General features: G+C 57.7%; 1 protein-coding gene and 1 long non-coding RNA gene across 8 annotated transcripts in view, besides 8 other annotated features; one reads left to right on the top strand and one right to left on the bottom strand.

Annotated features, from left to right (window-relative positions):
• The window catches only part of SEPTIN9 (septin 9), a 219,098-nt gene that overhangs the window by 64,553 nt on the left and 133,969 nt on the right, over positions 1–20,576 (bottom strand).
• Positions 670–18,860, top strand: LOC112268199 (uncharacterized). The gene is made up of 2 exons (XR_002958141.2): positions 670–1,765; positions 4,742–18,860. It is a non-coding gene; the product is annotated as an uncharacterized LOC112268199 (long non-coding RNA).
• Positions 778–1,591: an enhancer, noted in NCBI's record as "H3K27ac-H3K4me1 hESC enhancer chr17:75430535-75431348 (GRCh37/hg19 assembly coordinates)". NCBI's record gives its function as "activates a minimal SCP1, AML or CMV promoter by ChIP-STARR-seq in primed H9 embryonic stem cells {active_cell/tissue: H9 hESC(primed)}" and the evidence as "EXISTENCE:reporter gene assay evidence [ECO:0000049][PMID:30033119]".
• Positions 2,024–2,173: an enhancer, noted in NCBI's record as "active region_12834". NCBI's record gives its function as "activates an Ori minimal core promoter by ATAC-STARR-seq in GM12878 lymphoblastoid cells {active_cell/tissue: GM12878}" and the evidence as "EXISTENCE:reporter gene assay evidence [ECO:0000049][PMID:35858748]".
• Positions 7,294–7,353: an enhancer, noted in NCBI's record as "active region_12833". NCBI's record gives its function as "activates an Ori minimal core promoter by ATAC-STARR-seq in GM12878 lymphoblastoid cells {active_cell/tissue: GM12878}" and the evidence as "EXISTENCE:reporter gene assay evidence [ECO:0000049][PMID:35858748]".
• Positions 8,573–9,481: an enhancer, noted in NCBI's record as "H3K27ac-H3K4me1 hESC enhancer chr17:75422645-75423553 (GRCh37/hg19 assembly coordinates)". NCBI's record gives its function as "activates a minimal SCP1, AML or CMV promoter by ChIP-STARR-seq in primed H9 embryonic stem cells {active_cell/tissue: H9 hESC(primed)}" and the evidence as "EXISTENCE:reporter gene assay evidence [ECO:0000049][PMID:30033119]".
• Positions 10,114–10,203: an enhancer, noted in NCBI's record as "active region_12832". NCBI's record gives its function as "activates an Ori minimal core promoter by ATAC-STARR-seq in GM12878 lymphoblastoid cells {active_cell/tissue: GM12878}" and the evidence as "EXISTENCE:reporter gene assay evidence [ECO:0000049][PMID:35858748]".
• Positions 12,166–12,970: an enhancer, noted in NCBI's record as "H3K27ac-H3K4me1 hESC enhancer chr17:75419156-75419960 (GRCh37/hg19 assembly coordinates)". NCBI's record gives its function as "activates a minimal SCP1, AML or CMV promoter by ChIP-STARR-seq in naive H9 embryonic stem cells {active_cell/tissue: H9 hESC(naive)}" and the evidence as "EXISTENCE:reporter gene assay evidence [ECO:0000049][PMID:30033119]".
• Positions 13,106–13,771: an enhancer, noted in NCBI's record as "H3K4me1 hESC enhancer chr17:75418355-75419020 (GRCh37/hg19 assembly coordinates)". NCBI's record gives its function as "activates a minimal SCP1, AML or CMV promoter by ChIP-STARR-seq in primed H9 embryonic stem cells {active_cell/tissue: H9 hESC(primed)}" and the evidence as "EXISTENCE:reporter gene assay evidence [ECO:0000049][PMID:30033119]".
• Positions 15,776–16,443: an enhancer, noted in NCBI's record as "H3K27ac-H3K4me1 hESC enhancer chr17:75415683-75416350 (GRCh37/hg19 assembly coordinates)". NCBI's record gives its function as "activates a minimal SCP1, AML or CMV promoter by ChIP-STARR-seq in naive H9 embryonic stem cells {active_cell/tissue: H9 hESC(naive)}" and the evidence as "EXISTENCE:reporter gene assay evidence [ECO:0000049][PMID:30033119]".

Below are 20,576 nucleotides of genomic sequence, written 5' to 3'. Positions count from 1 at the left end.
TGCATAAACACACACACGAGGCTGAGGCCAAGAGAACACGCGCTCAGTTCTCCCTTGGTCCTCCAGCAACGTCTCCATGCTCTAGCCCTGCCTCAAGCCCTAAACGGTGTAAGGTTTTTCCAGGTGGAGGAATGGAAGCCCCTAAGAAGTCCGTGCTTTAGGGATTACACAGAGGCAGGGCTCAGGAGCAAAGGCCTCCAGATCCCGCAGTGCGGCGCTGGCAAGCTTGCGCTGCTGCATTCACACTGTCCTGGGATGAAGGCGACATGCTGACCTCCCTCAGGTGGCTGCAGGACAGCCAGGAGGAGGTGAGATGCCAGCCAAAGGCAGCCACAGACAACAGCACTACGGATTACCAGAAACGCCACCCTCGTGCCAAAGCGTCCGCCTCCCCTAGCTGCTTCATTCTGTGTCAACATCCTTTGGGAGTGACATGTGTGAGACTGGGCTGTGCTGATGAGTGACCACTGGCACCTCCAGACCACACCAAGGAGGGGCCACTCTGCTGCCAATCAGGTGTAGGGCAGGCGGCACTGGGGCACGACGACCCGCCCGGCATGGTTGCTCTACTTCTCCCCCTGCCTGAGCACAGGCTGGCAGGTTCAGAGGAGAGGAGGAAACAGAGCCACCATGGGGGGCGTGTTTAGGGGTGAGCCACCTCAAGAAGCCACAGAATCAGGGCATGGGAGACACTGCTCAGCTCTGCCACTAACCTGCCGTGCGAAGCTGGCCAAGTCACTGCACTCCTCTGGGCCTCAGGTTTTGCAATCAGAGGGCTGGCCGAAGAGGTAAATGACAGTGGTTAGGGATGGGGGCACTGAAGCCAGACTTTCCGCATTCGGACCCTCCCTCTGCCATGCTCAGAGGGAGGCTTGGGCAGGTTACTTAACATCTCTGGGCTGTGGGTTCCTCATCGGTGAAATGGGAATAACAACAGAATCAATTTCACAGTGTTGTTGGGAGGATTAAAGGGGATACTTACTCCAGGTAAAGAGCCCTTAAGACAGCTCGGGGTCCTCAGGAAGCCCTTGTTACCATCATCGGACATCACCACTCCTGCCACGGTTGCCAGGGCCCCGTCCAGCACCGGCAGCCTGATGTCGGCAGAGGAAGGGTGAGGTCTCTGCTCCCCTGCAGCGCCTCCTTTCCCCTCTTCCCTCCAGCTATGGCAACAACAGCTGAAGTTCACTCTTAGTTCCAGCGACTGGCTACCCTCCTGAATTAAGGACTGAAGGCCCCAGGCCTGCCACCCAAGGTCCAGGTGCAAGAGGGGTGAGCCACCGGTCCTTGCCTTCATCACACCCAGGCTTCCACACGCTCCTTCAAACAGGCCTTTGCTTCACGTGCAAGAGAAGATGCCAACCCTCACGTCTGGGGCGGGGGTGCCCACAAATGCCTTGGACGTGAGCTTTGACGGGGGTCATGGTGCAGGTCCTGCCAGGGCACCTTCAACCACAGGGGACTACCTGCAGCCCACAGAGGGTCCCCTGCAGGCCAATGGGACTCTGCCACCCTGGCTGCCACCCTGCTTAGCCACCTGGTAAGGAAAACAGGCTGCAGACTCAGAGGCAGTACGGGCTCATATGCTAGCGAGACAACACAACAAGGGAAGGATGTGCAGGACGAGGGAGCCATGGAGACCTCACCGCAGCCTCAGCCACCCACCAGCAGACCCTGTGCGGACGCCGGGCAGGCCACCCTACCAACTCTCAGGATGCTCCTGCAGGCCCTGCGGGTGGACAGGGTGAACGGAGGCACAAGGAGGGTAAGTCTGACAGGGGCTGGGGCTGGGCCTGGAGCCAGAACCCCAGCCAGTCCTGCCACCGTATCCTAGGGCACTTTCCGCAGACAGCAGGCCAAAGCAAGGTTGCCCAGATTAAAGGGGAAGGGGCCCTGCCTCTCCCACCAAGGGCCTCCTGGAGACCCCAACACAGATCCCCAGCCCACAGACACCAAACCCAGGGCCTTTGAGAAGTGAGAAATGTGAAAAACGCACAGAACAGCTGCAGCTTAGCGCTTCTAACACGCCAGACTCACACAGGCACACACAGCGTCCCTGCAGAGGCCAGAAAGCTCTGTGCTGGGAAGTCCCCCGATCGGGGGAGGCCCCACAGCAAGCTCCCCTCTCTGCCCATCCACCAACGGGCGGAAGGTCCTAATTAGGACCATATGGGAAGGGCCAGCGGGAGGGGCAGAGAGGGAAAATGAACAGGCAACATCAAGTGCCTGGGGCGGGGGGCGCAGGGGATACCCAGGAGGGGAGGGCAGGGGTGCACTCCCCATCTAACTCACAGGGAACGGGGGTTCGGGAGGTGCAGGAGAAGGTCCCGGCATTCCCATCTCCCTTCCTCTGCAGATTCACTCACAGCCTGTCCACGGGCAGCTAGATCCAGCCACAGGTCAGACGCCCGCTCCAGCCCCACCCCTCTGGCCTATTGAAAGCAAGCCAGGACAGTGAGGGGGACGATGCTGCTATTTCCGGCATGGCCATGCTGGGCCTCGGGGTGGGTGGGAACGTGGCTGGGGCGCCATCCCTTTTGGCCGTCACAGGCACAAAAGCCTCTCCGTGTCCCAGTGCCACATGTGGGTCCCTTCCCTGCTGCCCCAACAGGACGGACACCTAAGCAGACCCTGTTGGCCGGGGGGGGTCCTCGCACCCAGCCCCACCCTGACCTAGCGAACCCCCTTTCTGCTCCTTGGGGCAGGAGCCACCAGGTCGGGTCTCAGGCAATGGCCAGTGAAGGGGCTGCATGGAGGGGCTCCCTAGGCTCACAGGAAGGGAGGCTCTCCTTCCCTGCAACGTGGCTGCAGCATCCTGTGACCGAGAGGGACACCACGGCTGGAGATGGTGGGATGGAGGATCCCCCACAGCATCCTCGATGCTCAGAACATCTCATTTTGCACAAAAAAGCTCCAAATTCTCTTGAGGGCTGAAGCCATTCAGAGTTGGGGTTTCTGTCTCTCAGGCCAAAAGCATCCTGTCGGAGCAGCTGAGAGCACAGCGGGAGGGGAGGGGCAGGAGGGAACAGCCCCGCCACGGCGACAGGGGATTCTCTGACTCCAAGAGGGCCTGCAGACACCACTACCCACCCCCAGCCCTGAACTGTCCCCTGCCAAGGGGCCAGAAATTCCTGGGAGGGGGACCACAGGGGGCCTCGCTCATGAGAACAGTGACTGTGGTCAGGCCACAGCTCACAAGTCAGCAACTCTGCTCAGCCGCCGCGGTGGTCCCCTCTTGATGGCTTCCAGAAAAAGCGTTCCACCTTCTGTCATCAGTGTCCTGAAATCCAAGAATATTCTCCAAACAGCAACTGCAGCAAAAGCTAATGCTGCGTGAGTGCCGCAGGCACCATTTCCAGGGCCTCACACACCCCCCGCTCAGTCCCCACAAAAACCCCACTCCATCCTTCCTCCCGCTCTCTTCCTCTAACAGCTCAGAAAACGAGCACGGAAGGGTTAAGCTGGCCTGAGGAGGGGCTGGTGGAACAGCCTGAGGGTCCAGTCTCCAAGAACTTCACATTGCAAAGGGAACCCTTGGGTCAGGGAGCAGGGCACAGCCCCCATCTCTCTACCCCCGTTCTCAGCACCAGGCCTGACACAGACGGGGCCTCGGCCATGAATAAATGAACAAGTGAATGAGAGCCTGCTGAGGGAAGAAGGTGACAGGGACAAGGGAGAAACAAAGCAGCCAATGCCGCCGTGATGATGACGATGCCAACGGCAGCACTGACATGTGGGCTCCTGTCATGCCAGGACCGTTCTAAGCACTTTGCTCTATGAACACCTTTGTTTCTCATCATGTCTCGAGTGGACATTTCTATTAGCCCATTTTACAGAGGGGAACATAGTTGAGCGTATTGGCTAAGGTCATGCTGCCAGGAAAGGTCAGAGTCCAGGTAGCATGTGGCTTCCCAGCCGGGCTCTGGTTCACACGGCCTCACAGGCAGCCCCATGAAACACGCAGAGAGAGCATGTGAGGGGCCCCCCTGCTGCCCCCCACCCCCAGCTGGGGTCCACCCTCTGCTGAAACCTCCCCAACCTGTTTCTAAGTCCCGCCAGCCACGAAACATTTTTTTGAACATCCAGTACCACCCTCCCATGGCTATTTGGCCTCATCCTTTTACAGGGCAAGTCTTGGGCGAAAAGTAGAAAGGATGAAAATCCCTGAGAGAGGTGACAACGTGGCAACTTTTTTTTTTTTTTTTTTTTTTTTGAGACAGCATTTCACTCCCGTTGCCTAGGCTGGAATGCAGTGGCACGATCTTGGCTCACTGCAACCTCTACCTCCCGGGCTCAAGCTATTCTCCTGCCTCAGCCTCCTGAGGAGCTGGGAGCACAGGCATGTGCCACCACACCAGGCTAATTTTTGTGTTTTTTTGTAGAGATGGAGTTTCGCCATGTTGCCCAGGCTGGTCTCAAACTCGTGGGCTCAAGCAATCTGCCTGCCTCAGCTTTCTGGGATTATAGACGTGAACCACCGTGCCTGGCTGAGGTGGTTCTCATACAAAGCAGAGAAAACCATCTTTAGTTCAAAACAAATTAATAAGTATTGAGTGTCTATGTAGAAAAAGACTAGAAGGAAACGTGAACATGTTAACAGTGTTTGTCTGGAGGACGCAATTATTATTGATCATTTCCTTTACATTTTCTAATTTAATTATTTTGTCACAAGTAGGTGTGATTTTTAAAATCACAAAAGATAAACGTTGGTTTTTTGTTTGTGTTTTGTTTTTTGAGACAGGGTCTCATCCTGTCACCCAGGAGCTGGAGTACAGTGGTGTGGTCATAGCTCACTGCAGCCTCAAACTCCTAACTCAAGCAATCCTCCTACCTGAGCCTCCTGAGGAGCTGGGACTACAGGCAAGCGCCACTACCCCTAGCACCTCTGTTGCCCAGACTGGTCTCGAACGCCTGGCCTCAAGCGACTCTCCCACCGCAGCCTCCCAAAGCTGGGATTACAGGCGTGAGCCACCACGCCCAGCAAAGATTGCTTTTCAATCAGGAAGACAGATGCTTCTTAGCACTTCTTGTTCTTCTTCTTTTTTTTTTTTTTGATACGGAGTATTGCTCTGTTGCCCAGGCTGGAGTGCAGTAGCACAGTCTCGGCTCACTGCAACCTCTGCCTCCCGGGTTCAAGAGATTCTCCTGCCTCAGCCTCCAGAGTAGCTGGGATTACAAGCGTGCACCACCATACCTGGCTAATTTTTGTATTTTCAGTAGAGATGGGGTTTCGCCATGTTGACCAGCCTGGTCTTGAACTCCTGACCTTAAGGGATTCACCCGCCTTGGCCTCCCAAAGTGTTGGGATTACATGCGTGAGCCACCACCCTCGGCCTGCTTCTTAGCACTTCTAACCTCTGCCCCTTGGCATCACCTGGCCAAGCAGATGAAAAGTTCCAGTGAGCTGTCAGCCGGCACCAGGCTGGGGTCTTCCCTAGGCAGCTCCAAGTGGCTAGGATCTGGCTTCTTTTCCAGAGCTGGGTCCAGAAACCAAGATCGGGAATGCGTGATGGCTGCTCTGCGGGCCCTTGCTATGAGGTCACTTCCCTGGTTCCAGTGATCGGCCGCTGGCTGTAGGGAGCATGTGGGTTCAGCCAGGGTTTGTGTCAACATGGCTCTGCTCTATCCACGGCCTAGTGGGTTCCTCCACCCCCCGCTGCATGACAACCCCAGGAAAAATGTTAGGAGGGAGGGAGCCGCTGGGGGTGTGACAGGAGAGACTTTCCAGGGACAGATTTGTAAAAACTGCTTCAAAGTCCTCTCCAAGGACTTTCAAGGCCTCCACTGCCCCCTACTGACAGGTCACGGCTCGGGCAGAGAAAGCTGGGGATGGAGCTGGCGGGGGGAGGGTGGCCAGCACCCGCAAGGCAAGGAGATGAGCTGGGAGAACAGGGGCTGGGAGGGCAGCCCCAGGCCAGCTCCTGTCTCCAGAACCACTGTCTCCCTCCTCTGGCCACAAAGTGAGGCTGGCCAGACACAGGCCTACTCCACAGGCTGGGAGGCTGGGCGTGAAAGCACTGTGCTTGCATGGGGTACCCCATGGTGAATACCATCAGAGCCAACCCCCAGGGTCTGCTGTCCTACAGGGAAGCCAGTGTAAGGCGCCCATGGAACCCAGAAGCATCTAAAGGATTTGACAGCCATGAGCTGGGAGGATCCAGTTCTGTAGCAGGAGAAAGAGAGGCAGAGAGACAGGTTTCGCAACATCTGCCCCATCCGCTGTGTTGCCCTGAGCACAGCCCACCCCTCTGTGGTCCCGAGTCTCAGCTCTGAGGTCTCTAAGACCCCCTGGGTCCCCGCAGCTCAGGATGCTCACTTGAAAACCAGGCCCAGCCAGCAGGGCCTCCCTCGTCAGCCTATTACTGGCCAGCTCCTGCCCAGCACCCTCCAGCTCATTATCCCCATCTGTGCAAACTCCACACCAGCACCCTAAGCCCTTCTTCCTCCAGGAAGGAGACTGTCCCCAGATGTGTCCCCTGTTCCCTTTCGATCAAAGCCCAGAAAACAGGAACCAGCCTTGCGCCTCCTCTCCCCACCGAACTGTTGGCCTTTTTGGATGCCCTCTCTGATTCTCTGCCAACATCCCCACAACACAATCAGCCCTCAGTCCCTCCCCAAATGCAATCGGCGAGCACGCTGTAGCCCAGGCGGACGGTGATGTCCCCATTTTGCAACCTGCGAGAGCCAGCACACCTCTCAGCCAGGTGGGCTGCAGGAGCCAGTCGTGGCGAGGGCAGGAGGCCTGCGTGCTGACGGCATCGGCACCATCAAAATTACGGTCAGATCAAGGTCACGGTCAACGAGCTTCTCCACCTGCAATTTCCTCCTCACCAAGGTGGCCTCAGCCTCAGCCTCGGCCTCAGCCTTGGTCTTGGCCTCAGGAGCTGCAGACACACCCCCAAGTCCCCACCCCAGGAGCTTGGCCTCACACACACCGGAGGACACGGAGCTGGGGCACAAATAGCCAAGAACAGGTACATCTGCAACCAGGAGCAGGGGGCGGAGGGCTGCTGAGATGCTCCCATTCTCACCGGCTGCCTCCTCTGACGGCTTACCACTTATTATACACTGACTGTATAACCAGGGCTGTGACATGTCTGCTTCTTACATTATATCATTAAATCCCCAAATTTGTCCCCAATTTACATACGATGAGGCAAATTCAGAGTCAATAACCTGCTTATCAGCTTCTGAACCCATGGGTGGCTCTAACCTCCCTCCTTCCAGCTCCTTTGGGCCCACATGAGTACTGAGGCACAAGGGAACCCCACCAGCTGGGAAGTGTGCCCTCCCTCTGCTGACCCCACAGCCCTCCCAGCCTGTGCCTGAAGCTGCCAACACCCTCCCATCCAGCACTGCTCTCTGTAGCCTGAGCTGTCGCTGTGTGACCCAGGGTTAGTGCCCTAACCTCTCTGGACTACATCTGCAAGATGAGGATGCCGCCGCACAGCCTACTTCAAATGGTCACTAAGTTGCCTGCACAGCTAACATCTGCCGAGCCTGTGACACGACCAGCTTTGCTTCAATTTCGAATGTGGTACTCCCACCCAGTTTGGGGGTGGAACTGTTAGTTCCTCTTTTTCTGGATAAGGAAGTTGAAAGGCTCCAGAAGGCACCAAGGTCAGCTGATCTGCCAGTAGGTACAGTGTCCACCTGTCACTCACAGCCCTCCCTTGACCGCTTCGCCTGTCTCCCCAGTTGAGATTCTGTGTGTACTTGAACACTTTGCCAATGGTTGAACCTGCACCAGGGTCACTGTGTCAGCTGGGCCTGCCAGGCCACCGTCCCCGAGCTCTGTCCAAGGCAGGGCCAGTGTTCATACCTTGCTTCCTTGCCAGTGTCCCACCCAAGGCCCTGGAAAGGCCCTGGAGTCAGAGATCCGGCTAAATCCTGGCAATGCCCCATACCTGCTGTGTGACTATGGGCCAGCGACTCAGCCTCTCTGTGCCTCCCGGGTTGCTGTGAGGGTTACAGGAGATGCACAGAGGGCCCTGAGCTTGGTGGCTGGCATGCTGCAAAGGCTAGTTACGTGGTGCAAGGATGGCACTGATGACAATAAATGAATCGAACGAAAACCAGGCTAACTGGGCCTGGGGAGGGGCGCTGGTTAAACAGACCCGAGTGGATCAGGACCTTGCACATGATGAGCAAGCGGGAACAGCTCCAAATAGCAAGTCGGGCAGGCCCAGGATGACTCAGCCCTGGGTGCTGTCCAGGGCCCCCTCTCGGCTCCCCTGCCGGCCTGGTCTCCTCCTGTTCCAGCCTGACTGCCCCTATGGGCTCCAACAAGTTCCTGACCAGGACTGAGGCAGAACAGACAGGGCTCAAGACCCTGCAGGCAGGCACAGAGTGTGGATGGCAAAAGGAGATGCTCCAGGCCCCCTGCCGTCCTTCCCTCCCCGAAGGCTGACAATGTCAACCTACAGAAGAAGCTGTTCTTCCCGGCCTCGGATCCCATCTCAATACAGTGTATGAGGCAGCTGTGCCCAAGGGGTGTGACCACTCCTGCAGATGGAACCCATTCACTGTGCCCAGCCCATTGCCAGAGCCCGGAGGACGGGGGAAGTGAGGTGGGGCATCTCCCACAGTGAAGGGAAAACCCAGTCTAGCTATTTTTTCTTGTGTTGCTTCTGGAACTCACCCTGTCATGGCTCTACCCTAACTCAGCTTCCCAAAGCCTCAGAGAGCTTTGTCCTTTCCCCTGCATCCCATCTCGTCCACTTGTGCTGGGTTAGTCCCCCAGAAGCCCCGTCTCCTGTCACTCCCAGGGCACCAAGGCTGGTTGGTGGGTTTAGGGATTCCCATCTTCTGATCCAGCCCCAGTGGCTCACCCCACACTCACCGGCACTCACAGGTGTGTCTCCCACCTCCGGCCTCTGCACAGGCGGCCCCACATTCTGGGAGCTCAGCCTCCCCCAAGGACTCACGCCAGAGCACAGGGACCTCTGTCTCTGACTCCTTCTTAGCTCCAATCACGAGCAGTCCATGTCATAGCAATTCCTTAGCTGCTTGTAGCTGTCTGCTAAGTTATGATAATGGCCTTTGCCCTCTAATCTAATGTCTGCATACAGACAAATCGCCACATTCTAAGCAGACCAGATACCACTTCCTCCAGGAAGTCTTCCCTGACTGCTCCAGTTGGACAGAGGCTTCCCTCCTTTGTGCTCCCCTAATGCTTAACAGGCATTCACTGAGCACCCGTGACATGCAAGGCACCCACAACACAAGTCAGTGTCCCCTGCCCTCCCAGAGGGCATATGAACAAATAAACGGCAAGACTCTCCAATACTCATCCATGCCCCATAGAAAGCCACCCACAGGCATGGGAGGGCTGTTTTAACTGCGGGTGACAGGGAGGCCTCTCCAAGATGGCAGCGCTTCAGCAAGACCTGAATGAGGCGGCCAGGAGGTCTAGGGAGGGACTTTCCAGGAGGGAACAAGTGAATATTCTTCCGTGAGGATGAGCCCTCATGTTCCAGGAGCAGCCAGGCCAGGGGACCGGTGCAGTGAACAGGGGCTGAGGGGAGTGGCCAGGTGACGTAGGGTCTCACAGGCCGCCCCACGATGAGTCAGCGCCCCAAGCACAGCAGACACCCAGGGAAGGTTTAGGCTGGGGAGTGATCTGAACAGATTCTCCATCCAGGAGCTCACCGGGGCTCCTGGGCTCACGCTGTTGCGCCACTGCATGCCTCCGGGGGCTCGGGGGGGCACCCTTTACACCATCATCACAGGCAGCACTCCTGGGGGAGGTGTGCTGTGCAGGGGACTCGCTGGCCACCCTGTCGGGCAAACCACAGGGGACTGTGTAGGACAGGCGGTCAGTTCAGGAGGGACAACTACCCAAGCAGGGGTCAGAGGGCACTCGGATTCGGGAGGAGTGCTCAACTTCTCAGGCCCAGGCAACCAGAGGTGGGGGGCGGGGTGCTGCTTCCTGACATGGGAGGCCTGGGGGCCTGGCTGCATTTCCTGGTGTGGAGGTGCTGGGAGGTGTGGAGGCCTCCTCCTGAGGCTGGGACCCTCTGGCCATCCTGACCCACTGTTCCGATCCTATCCTCCAGTCTGAGGGCATGGCCTGAACTCACAGCCGCACACACTCCCCTCTGCACAGGGCCCTGCGGGGCCGGCACAGCAGCCTCTCCTCTACAGATCAGGATGCTCAGCTCCAGGAGGGCTGGGACTGTCCAAGACCGCACAACCAGGGTCAGACACAGCTGGGCCAACCTTGTGACTTCTGGCTCCACGCACAGATTCTAAGCACACAGGTAAAACTCTGCTGGCTGGGAGGGTTGGGGGGTAGATGAGCGGGGGGCAGCTTCCTCTTAGCCTCCCAACATGCCAGGTCCCTGGGTGGGAGGGGGCACAAAGACCCTACCTTTCCCAAGAGACAGAGAAAGAGGCAGTGGAGGGTCCCTCTCTGGCTGAGGCTCCAGGTCCTGAGTGGTGAATGCAACCCCACTTGGAGGCTGGAAGTCAGGCGGCCTTGGGGGTGTGCGAGGCCCGCCAGCTCAGCTGCAGCTCCTTCCATGTAAGGGAACCCCCCCCAGGCAGCGTCCCCATGACCAGAGAGGGGGCCAGGAAGAGGTGAGGGCTGTATCCAGAGTGACACTCGGGTGGGCTTCACCCTGGGGACACGGTCACATCCCCCTCCCGGACCTCTGAAGCCCTCAGGTGCGGGTCAAGGGCTCTCAGCTGCAGGCAGGAGAGGGCCCCACAGCCACAGATCTGGGGAGTCCAGCTTGCAAAGCCCAGAGGCTTCCGGAGGCCGCTGGCCCGGCTTCCTGTGCAGCTGGGTTTTCCTGGGAGGCCCTCCTCCGGCACTCTCAGTCCCCAGCCCGCACGACCTCCCACAGCTGGGCCCATCTTCCCAGGCCCGGGTCACATGGTGCAGGTCAGTGGGGCTCTGGGGGAGGGCAGGGCGCCAGGAACAGCCCCGGGGGTGGGGGGACTGGAGCAGAGCTCACTTTGGCCGCCTGCCCACTTTGCATGAAGGACGCTAGACTTCCACATGTGGTCACTCGACTTCGCCCAACTATGCGTAAGTCCTGGTTACCCTCACCCTACTGATGGGAATTAAACTGGCCAAGGAGAAGCTCAGAATCTGAGCAGAGCAGGGGTCCAAGCCTCCCAGGAGTTCTAGGTACCCCCCAGCCCCTCCTTCCGAGTACTGAGTCCACACACTCAGTGCCCGGATGCCCATTCACTTGGGGGCCCGGCGACCGCCAGTCAGCATGGCTTACAAAGGGCTTCTGTGCAACAGGTCTCATTTGATCCTCCCAAAAACCCTCCGAGGCAGGACAATGTTATTCAACCCATTTTACAGACAAAGCAACTGAGTCATAAAATGGCTTGCCAAAAGATACAGAGGCAGAAAGATCAACAGCAAAGAGCTTCTCTGTGATCCTGACCAGCAAGGCCCCCAGAAAAAAGCAAGGGACCCCGAGGCCCTCACAGGAACAGAGTCCTGGAGGAGAACAAGAGCTTAGCCTCATGCTACCCTCAAGGGGTACCTTGAAGGTCAAGGTATTGGGCCCAAGCAGGCTGGACTGTGTTCCCTGTACCCCTCCCACCTCCTGAAGCCCCTTCCCTCCCACCCAGGTGGGCCGTGGAGGTGTCCACAACATATAATGGAACAGCTGGTAGGTCACTGGGCCCCCCACTGAGCCAAGGGGCTCGACCAGAGGCTCAAACAGTGGCACAGAAACCATGAGCCTCGCTGCAAACCAGCTCAGGCTTTGGAGTCAAGCAGCCCTGTGTTCACAGCCAGGGTCAGCCGCTTCTAGCTGTGTGGCCTGAGGCCAGTTCCTCAACCTCTCTGTGCCTCGGTGCCTTCTCTGCAGTAGTAACAGGAACCGTTTTCTACGGCGATAGTGCAGATACATCCCATGAAGCGCATAAAGCTTCGAGCCCAGCGCCTGGAGTACGTCAGGACGCAGTAAGTGGTCACTTATGATTCATGAAATATTAATAAGGTGAGGGGTGGAATGACAGCCTCCTTGCGTTGTCCCTAAAATGGAAACAAATCTGCTCAGCGCTCAAAGCAGCAGAAAGTGAGCCAAGGACAGGCTCCCAGCGACATGCCCTGGCAGAGTGTTCCCTGCTGGCCCCAGGCAGGGCTCAGGGCGGGCGGCCACCCTCCAGATGAGCTCATCGCTGGCACCTGCTTCCAGAGCACATGCCTGGACTTTCCAGATCTTTCCTCCCCTCTCTCTGACCTTCCCCTACTCTGCAACCCCCACCTCCTGCCACTTTCTTACTCACTCTCTCCTTTCATTCCTGTTCAAAAACAAATAATGGAGGCCAAATGTGTCAGCTGGCTCCCTGGAAAGGCTTCCCTGCAGCAGGAACGCGACGGGGGCAGTGGAGGATTGCTCAGCGCAAGCCACGTGATCTCCGCGCGGAGCCGGGGAAGGGGAGGCGCTGAGATCGAGGGTGCTAGGATCGAGGCACTGAGATGGGGTCACTGGACAATGGCCAGGGCCAGCTCCCGTTCCCACCCCAACAGGGGCCCCCACATTCAGGGGCCACATCTCTAAAGTCTCTTGGACAAGAGAGACAAATCCCATCACAGGGTCAGAAACGCTGCCTCCAGGCCGCCATCTGGGTGGGGGTGAGAGATGCCTCGCCGGTTCCTAAACATTCACTCTGTGGACAAAACTATCAAGGGGAACTCAATGTTTCCACAGCAGCTTGGTCAAGATATAGGTATCAGGCCGGGCGCAGTGGCTCACGCCTGTAGTCCCAGCACTTTGGGAGGCTGAGGCGGGCGGATCGCTTGAGGCCAGGAGTTCGAGACCAGCCTGGCCAACATGGTGAAACTCCATCTCTACTAAAAATACAAAAATTAGCCAGGTGTGGTGGTGTGAGCCTGTAGTCCCAGCTACTCAGGAGGCTGAGACAGGAGAATTGCTTGAACCCTGGAGGTGGAGGTTGCCATGAGTGGATATCACACCATTGTACTTCAGCCTGGATGACAGAGCGAGCAAGACAGCCTCAAGAAAAAAAAAGATGCAGGTATTGTCTCAGGGTTCACAAGTATAACCTGATCCCTGATGTTGGCATTTAATCCTGATGCAGATCCCAGCAGGAAAAGGGAGACGAACCAGAAGGCTGTGGGGACGAGGGGTTTACAGCAGTGCTTATTAGACTTGCTCTGGCAGGCACAAGTGTCCCCTGGAGGCTGCTAGACAAGCAGAGGGCCCACCCCAGAGACTCTGGTTCTGGAGGGCTGGGTTAGGGCCCAGGAAGCTGCATTTCGGCAGGGAATTCAGAGCTATCCTGAGTCCTACTTTGGAAGCAAGAGCCAGGGGGCAGAACAGAACCGGAACCAAAAGCTTCTGTGGGCCCAGTTTCATGGGGATGGGCCCGGTTTCATGGGGATGGACCCCTGCACCATCCGAGGTGACCATTAGCCCGGCTCCCCGGGACCAGCCCTGAGTGCTCCCTGGGGAAAGCGGGACCTGCAGAGGATGGTTTTCCAGGATCCGCCTGACCACCCACCCCCAGCCCGCTCTTACCCCAGCTTCCCTGACCTCCATCCTCCACCTAGAACTCTGGAGACCTGGCCCTGGAGGCCCAGAGACCAGAAATGAGGGGAGACAAGGGGAGAAGCTCCCCTCCCCATTCGCTGGCCACGCCAATGGGCTGACCTCCCAGGAAGCCACACCAGCCACTGCTACTGTCCTGGCCGCCCCGCCTGGCCCCGAGGCTGGGTGAGCAAGCATTCCGTTCTGCCTGCTTCTTCACCTGAGTCTCCTGCTGATGTCACGAGAGGCCTGACCACGCGCCCAGGAGGTACAGGACAGAGCCCAGAGCTGTTCAAGAACACATAAGGCTGAGGCCCGGGTCCTGCACCTGGGAAGGGCCAGGAAGGGTTAAAGGAAAACCCCAGCTGAGCACAATGGCTCATGCCTGGAATCCCAGCACTTTGGCAGGCCAAGGCAGGAGGATCATTTAAGCCCAGGAGTTGGAGTTCAGCCTGGGAAATATAGTAAGACTCCATTTCTACAAAAAAAAATTAAAATTAAAAAATTAACCAGGCATGGTGGCACACACCTGTAGTCCCAGCTACTTGGTAGGCTGAGATGGGAGGACTGCTGAGCCTAGGAGGTCGAGATCACAGTGAGCGGGACATTGGGCCATTGAACTCCAGCCTGGGCGACAGAGAGAGACCGTCTCAAAAAAAATCCCTACACTCCATGGAGCTTAGCAGAACCTTCGGCCAGGGTGTCTCGACTGTGAAATGAGCGTGGCAGCTGCCAATCCCCGAGGGTGAAGACCCATCCACTAGCAACCTGCACCCTGGCACGGTGAGAGGAAGTGCCTGGGGAAAGACGTCGGCCGAGGCAGAGAGCTCAGCCCAATCCACCGTGGAGGAGCCACTCCAGTTCCAAAGAGAAAGATCAATAAACCTCAGGTGAATGGCCCAAAAGCCATCCCTGTACACGCAGAGGGTGCATTCTGGGACATGTGGATACCTTCTCCCAGGACAGGAAGCAAAACCAGCAGGCAGAGACGTGAGCCTCCCTGCTCTTGCCGGAGCCAACCTGGAGCCCTCATCTCGGTCCCCAGGGAAGCACAGACCCCCACCTCCACCGCAGCCAAAAGACTTCCTGTTGACTTTCCCAGCAGCATCCAGCCCAGTCTTGTGGGGAGAGGCGGCAGGGGGAGGAGACAGAGAAAGATGAGCTCCTGGCAGCTGTGACTGGGGGGAGAGAAATGCGGTTCCAATCTGTTCCTGCTCACCCCACAGACGGGCGGTGTCTTATTTCAAAATCCAGGGCAGCTGAGGGACTGAAGGAAGAGGGGGACACCTTCTAACTGGGGTTTTCTTTCATTTCACCCCATGGCGCCTTACACAGGAAAGAGCTGGAAGGTCTCGGGCTCCTGGCATCCAGCCAAAGTCTCAGGCAGGGGCCCAGACACTGGGCTGTGTTATCACTCCAGGTAGCCCGGGAGTCAGCGACGGCAGAGCTCCACCCCTACCCCGACCACTGCACAGTACCCCGTCTCCAGGACAGCTCAGCAGCCAGGCTGCTCCAGGGTTCAAATCCAGACACTTAACTGTGGGGGCCTCAGGCAAGTGGCTGAAGCTCTCTGCGCCTTGATTTCCTAATCTGGAAAATGGGATGATGAAAGTAACTGTTGGGCAGGGCAAGGGGTAAGTGAAAGCCAGCGTTTGAGAGTGATGTGGTTAGGACCGTTGTTGTGACCACATACTGAGCCTTCTCCTCCCACCTGAGACAAGGGTTTCACTGACTGTTGCCAGAAAGATCTAGACCCAGAAGGACCAGGAAAGTCGTCTCATTCACAATCCCAGAGGGAAGGGGAGGTCCCCGTGCCAGCTGGCTGCTGCAGGGGAGAGGGTGGGAGACAGATGGGGGACAGAGGAGCAGGGGCAGCAGGAGGAACGGCCGGCAGGGAAGTCCGCCTGAGATCTAAAGGACTGTCCACCAGGAGGACAGCTCAGGCTCTCCCCACTGAGAAAGACTCCTCTGGACAGTTGGGCTGAGGATTCCCAGGTCCTCTGGGTGGAGCAGAATCAGCCATCACTGAAGCCACACAGGCTTGCAAGCACAAGTGGGGGACTGCCCAGGTATCTCTGTTTCACAGGGGCCAGGCACCAAGGCCAGGGTGGCCAGAGGACATGACGCAGCCCAGTAGGGGCCTCGCAGAACCACCAGCCAAGAAGACACATGCAGAAGCACGCAAGTGTTCCGAGGAGGCAAACTTCCTGCTGGACTGAACATGGGGAGCTGAGCTTCCAATCACTGAGCCGGGCTGTCCGGCCCGCTTCTCTCTTCCTGAACAGAAGGTCCCCAGACAGAGCAGCCAGGCAACAGCATGGCCAAGCAGGGGTCTGCATTCCAGTCCTGCCCTGCAGCCTGACCAGGCTGTCGCCCTCCCAGGAGACACGGGACTGGCCAGGGCTCCCCTAGGCTGCCACAGGAATAAGGCAGGGCTGTGACCTCTTCCATGGCCCAGGCACCTGGGGGAGGGACCATGAGCTCCAGTTCAGGGGACAGACAGGAAACGGATAGTCCGCCCTCCCCCCAACCACGGAGCTGGCTTCTCCTCCACCGCATCCTCCCCAGCCATGCCCCCCACCAGAAGACCACCGCACCCAATGGGTGGTTTTGCAGCGACACCCAGCCCAATGAAGTTACCTGGTGGGGGCCTTGGGGGATGCAGCCTCCTGAAATACACACGGGCAGTGGGTGAGTCGGAGGCTGCGTGGGGCCTTGCTTCCTGGGGATGGCCAGGAGGTGCCTCAACCATCTGTAACCCGAGCCCACAGTGACCGGGACTTGCTGCTTCCCCATCCCAGCCCTCTCCTATCAGCATCCGCTAAGCGTCAGTCAGCAGGTGCCGGCACGGCCTAAGGCAGGCCTGCAGTTAGACCAGCACCGGGGGAGGGACCGGGAGAGAGACCTCTAGAGTGGAAGCCACAGCCCCTCTTCCTCCTAGGCTGGGCAACAGACCACCATTCCCAGCCAGCCCTGGGGAAGGGGGAGGGGTCAGCTGGGTCGCAGGTACAGCGCTGGGGTCCCCTGAGGTGGCTGCTGCTGATTACGGCCCCTCTTCTTCCTGGGCTGGGCAACAGACCACCATCCCCGGCCCACCCTAGGGAAGCGGGAGGGGTCAGCTGGGGCACAGGTACAGCGCCGGGGTCCCTGCGGCGGCTGCTGCTGACCACGGGCCTGTTACTCCTCCTCCAGCTGGGTTGCCACTCCGGTCCTGAAAGCGCCTCCCTCAGCTCCCAACTCGTGCCCAGGAGGCAGCCGACACCCCAAGCGCTGCCACAGCAGGAGGCTGGGCCTGCAAGTGTGACCCGCCTGGGGAGGGGCAGAGGGAAAGACCACCTCCGTTCAAACAGCGGCCTTCTCCCTCCCCTCGGGGGTTCCCACAGGGTCTCCAGTCTCTCTCTGGCCAAGAGGTAAGGAGAGGCAGGAAAGTTTCAGGAACATCGGCAGAGAAGAGACAGGGCAGGCTGCTAGAGGAAGCAGGTTGTAGGGTGCCTAAGGCTTCAGGCTGGGCTTTGGGAGGCCAGGGTATGGGCAACCAGGAGGCTCAGGCAGGGAAATCTGTCCCGCAGGGACCCTGGGAGACAGGGGAGAGGGGACATGACAGCCGTCCCTTGCTGCCTCCTGGCTGTGGCTTCCAGGGGCCTCAGCTCAGACCAGAAGCACCCCATGCACCGGGTCTCGGTCCAGCCTGGAAGCACGGCCCACAGACCTACATGACTACCTGGGCAGTGATCCCCAAAAGGTCCCCCGTCACCAGCTGGGGAGCTCCCGAGGGGAGGGTGGCTTTGCAGAGCATCTGGAGACATCAATGGGCCGTGAGGAAAGGAGGAGGCGTGGACATCCTCACGGCCTTAAGAGAAAATCAAGGCAGAGCTGGAGGCTGGGCGTGGCGGCTCACACCTGTAATCCCAGCACTTTGGGAAGCCGAGGTGGGCAGATCACTTGAGGTCAGGAGTTCAAGACCAGCCTGGCCAACATGGTGAAAACCGGTCCCTGCTAAAAATACAAAAACTAGCCTGCCATGGTGACACGCGCCTGTAGTCCCAGCTACTCAGGAGGCTGAGGCAGGAGAATTGCTTGAACCCAGGAGGTGGAGATTGCAGTGAGCCAAGATGGCACCACTGCACTCCAGCCTGGGCAACAGAGTAAAACTCCATCTTAAGAAAAAAAAAGAGCAGAGCTGGAGGCCAGGCGGCTCTCAGAGCCTGACAAGGAGGCCGTGGGGCTGGGCTGCCTTTCCGGCCATCTGAGGGGCAGGGACTGGCCCAGCCTGAGCTTCAGACCCACAAGAGGCTGAACCGGAGCGGGACTCCGAGATGAGGCAGGGCTATCCTGTCCACACCTGTGTCCAGGCCTCAACAGCCACCCTCTCCAGGAACTCAGTTTGATGGTCTCTCAGGCTGAGAGGCTGTCAAGGGGCTGTAAGGTGCCGCAACGTGTGAGTCGGTGGGTTCTGATGTGTGACAGCTCGGGGCACTCCCCCCACCGCCAGGGAACAGGAATGAGGAGCCCCCCACTCCCAGTGTCTGGCAGGTAGGAGGCCGCCACTGGACTGTGTGCCCAGGTGCCACCAGACCCCGAGGGCCCACGGATACGGCACATGACCTTTAATGACCAACGCCTGTGCAGCAGGTGCTGAGGTGCCCCAACCCCGAGCAAGGCTGGGTTCCTGGAACCCCCCCTCCGGTAGGAGGATTTGCAGCTGAGGAATTCTTAAGAAATTTTTTGGTAGCAAACAAAGCATGGGGCTGGACGGTGGACCTATGAGTGCCCTCACATGAATGCGGATATAGACAGAAAAGACGGCAAACATTTGTGAACAAAAGGAATGGCTCCTGCGTATTGAACTTCCACTTACCGGCCCTTGTCTGGTATAAAGTCCTCAGGAACTCTCCAACAGCTTCAGTTAGAAACGTGCTTTTGTTTGGCTATGTGGAAAATTCTATACACACTAAGATATATGATGTTTCTGGTCCTCTCTACGAATGTTCTATGCTTTCTGGGTTTATGATTTGGAATTTGCAGACCTCTGCTGCCTCTGTTCCAGAGTCACAAGGATCTTGGATGCAGGAAACATTTTCTATGTGCAAGGGCCCCCTTCCCCTCTGCCAGGGTCCATCGGCCTCTCTCTGTCCACAGGTGTCACCCAAACCCTTGCACCTGTGGCCTCCTCTTTCTAATTACCTCGTGCAACTCGTCAACAGCTTCCCCACCTCCAGAGCTTGGCTGCTGGAGACACACAAGGCACACAGAATCCGTGAAATGACACTGAGCATCTATTAGGCACTTATTGTGTGCCTCGTTTGGTAATAATAAGTAAAATCACAATGCTCTGGGCACATGAGTACACTTCCTTATGTTCATCCTCCCAGCAACTCAATGAGATGGCTCTATAAATGGGGAAACTGAGGACAGGGAGGCCAGATTGGCCCAAAGCCACAGGTTAGGAGGGGTAGGGCCAAAATTCAAATCCAGATAGTCTGGTACCAAATCCCAGTTTTTCACACGAAAGGCATCTTGTAACTCCTCGAGAAGGCTGGGACTATTATTTTCATTGTACAGATGAGGAAACCAAGATGCCAAATGGCCAGACAGCCCTGGAGCCAGGAGGTGGGCCCAGTGGCTTATGGGAGCACATGGAATGGAGCCCATGGGAGGCTCGAGGTTGGGATCCCGCATCTTATCCTGGTCTAAGGGATGAGGTGACTGGGAGTGTCAGAGACACTCTGGGACTGGCCATCCAGGTGCTCTGCATCCAGTTCCAGCGTTGAGTGGGCGAGGGTGGACAACCTGCCACCCAGCAGGGCTGCTGTCCGTATCCCGGTGGCTCTTCAAAGCCTGGCTAAGCAAAGCAAGACTGTCCTCGGACCAGAGTGACCCCCAAGCCACACAAGCACTCAGTTATGCTTCGGAGGATGCAGGACTGGGAAGGTCTTCCTCCCACCGCATCCTCACCCAGCTCCTCCATGGGGCAGCTGGCTCCAGGCACAGACCAGACGTCCCTCTCCCTGCCTGCTGCCGGCATGTCCCTGGCTTCACTGCTGCTTCAGGGAGGGGCCCAAGAGCTCCCCGGCCCCGTTATTCATCACACTCCGTTCAGAGGGCCGGGGGCTCAGCACCAACGCCAAGCATCCAGCAGCAAAACCACGGGTTGGAAAGAGCCACAGTGCTGCTCTGATCTGGCCCCATCCCATACCGGGTGCCGTTCTCACCAGCTCCTTCCTGTTCCTGGCCCCACCTCTCAGGTACCACAAGCTCTGCAGGTCCAAAGCCAAATTCACCAGCCCTTGACCCTCTCCAGCTGGGATTAGGGTGAGGCCTTCGTCCAGGTGCAAAAGTTAAGGCAGTGCCAAAAAATCCAGGAATCAAACAATATTTTGAAGCAACATTTTAAACAAATCAAATTCCACGCTGAACAAACTCTGACAGGGCTGTGCACGTGCAGGGCTGGGCCTGTCTTAATTTAAAATTCCAACATTTGTTCATCATAGAGATTACTATGCATCATTTCGATATTGAAAAATACTGCATTAAATACTATCTGTGTTGATTCCTGAGCTCTTTGGTGTCCCCTTACATTTTGCTCCTGACAAGTGCCTGACACACCTTGCCCCAGCCGGCCCTGCTCTCCAGGTGCCCTCCTGGGGCTGTCCTGCCCACGCTCCTCGCAGCCACCAGGAGCCACTGAGCCACTGCATCTGCCTTATTTTGCTCCTTATGCCTCCGCACCGTCCACCTCGCCATGCTTCCCTCGTGTGCCTTGGTCGCACGTCAGCTCCAGACAGGAGCCCGGTGGGCTGGGAGCTCATACTAATGCTGCCTTCCCTCGGCTTCGGTGCCGGGCACAGGGCAGCACTGGAGATTTCTTTTTTTTTCTTTTTTTTTTTTTTTTTGAGACATAGTCTCACTCTGTCACCCAGGCTGGAGTGCAGTGGCGCAATTTTGGCTCACTGCAACCTCCACCTCCTAGGTTCAAGCTCTGCCTCCTGGAATCAAGCAGATTCTCCTGCCTCAGCCTACCGAGTAGCTGGGACTACAGGTACACGCCACCAC

Source organism: Homo sapiens, chromosome 17 (assembly GCF_000001405.40).
Source record: "Homo sapiens chromosome 17, GRCh38.p14 Primary Assembly".
In the NCBI taxonomy this organism is placed as follows: Eukaryota; Metazoa; Chordata; class Mammalia; order Primates; family Hominidae; genus Homo; species Homo sapiens.
Note: the sequence above shows the minus strand (reverse complement) of the source record. Positions and strands in the feature narration are given on the sequence as shown.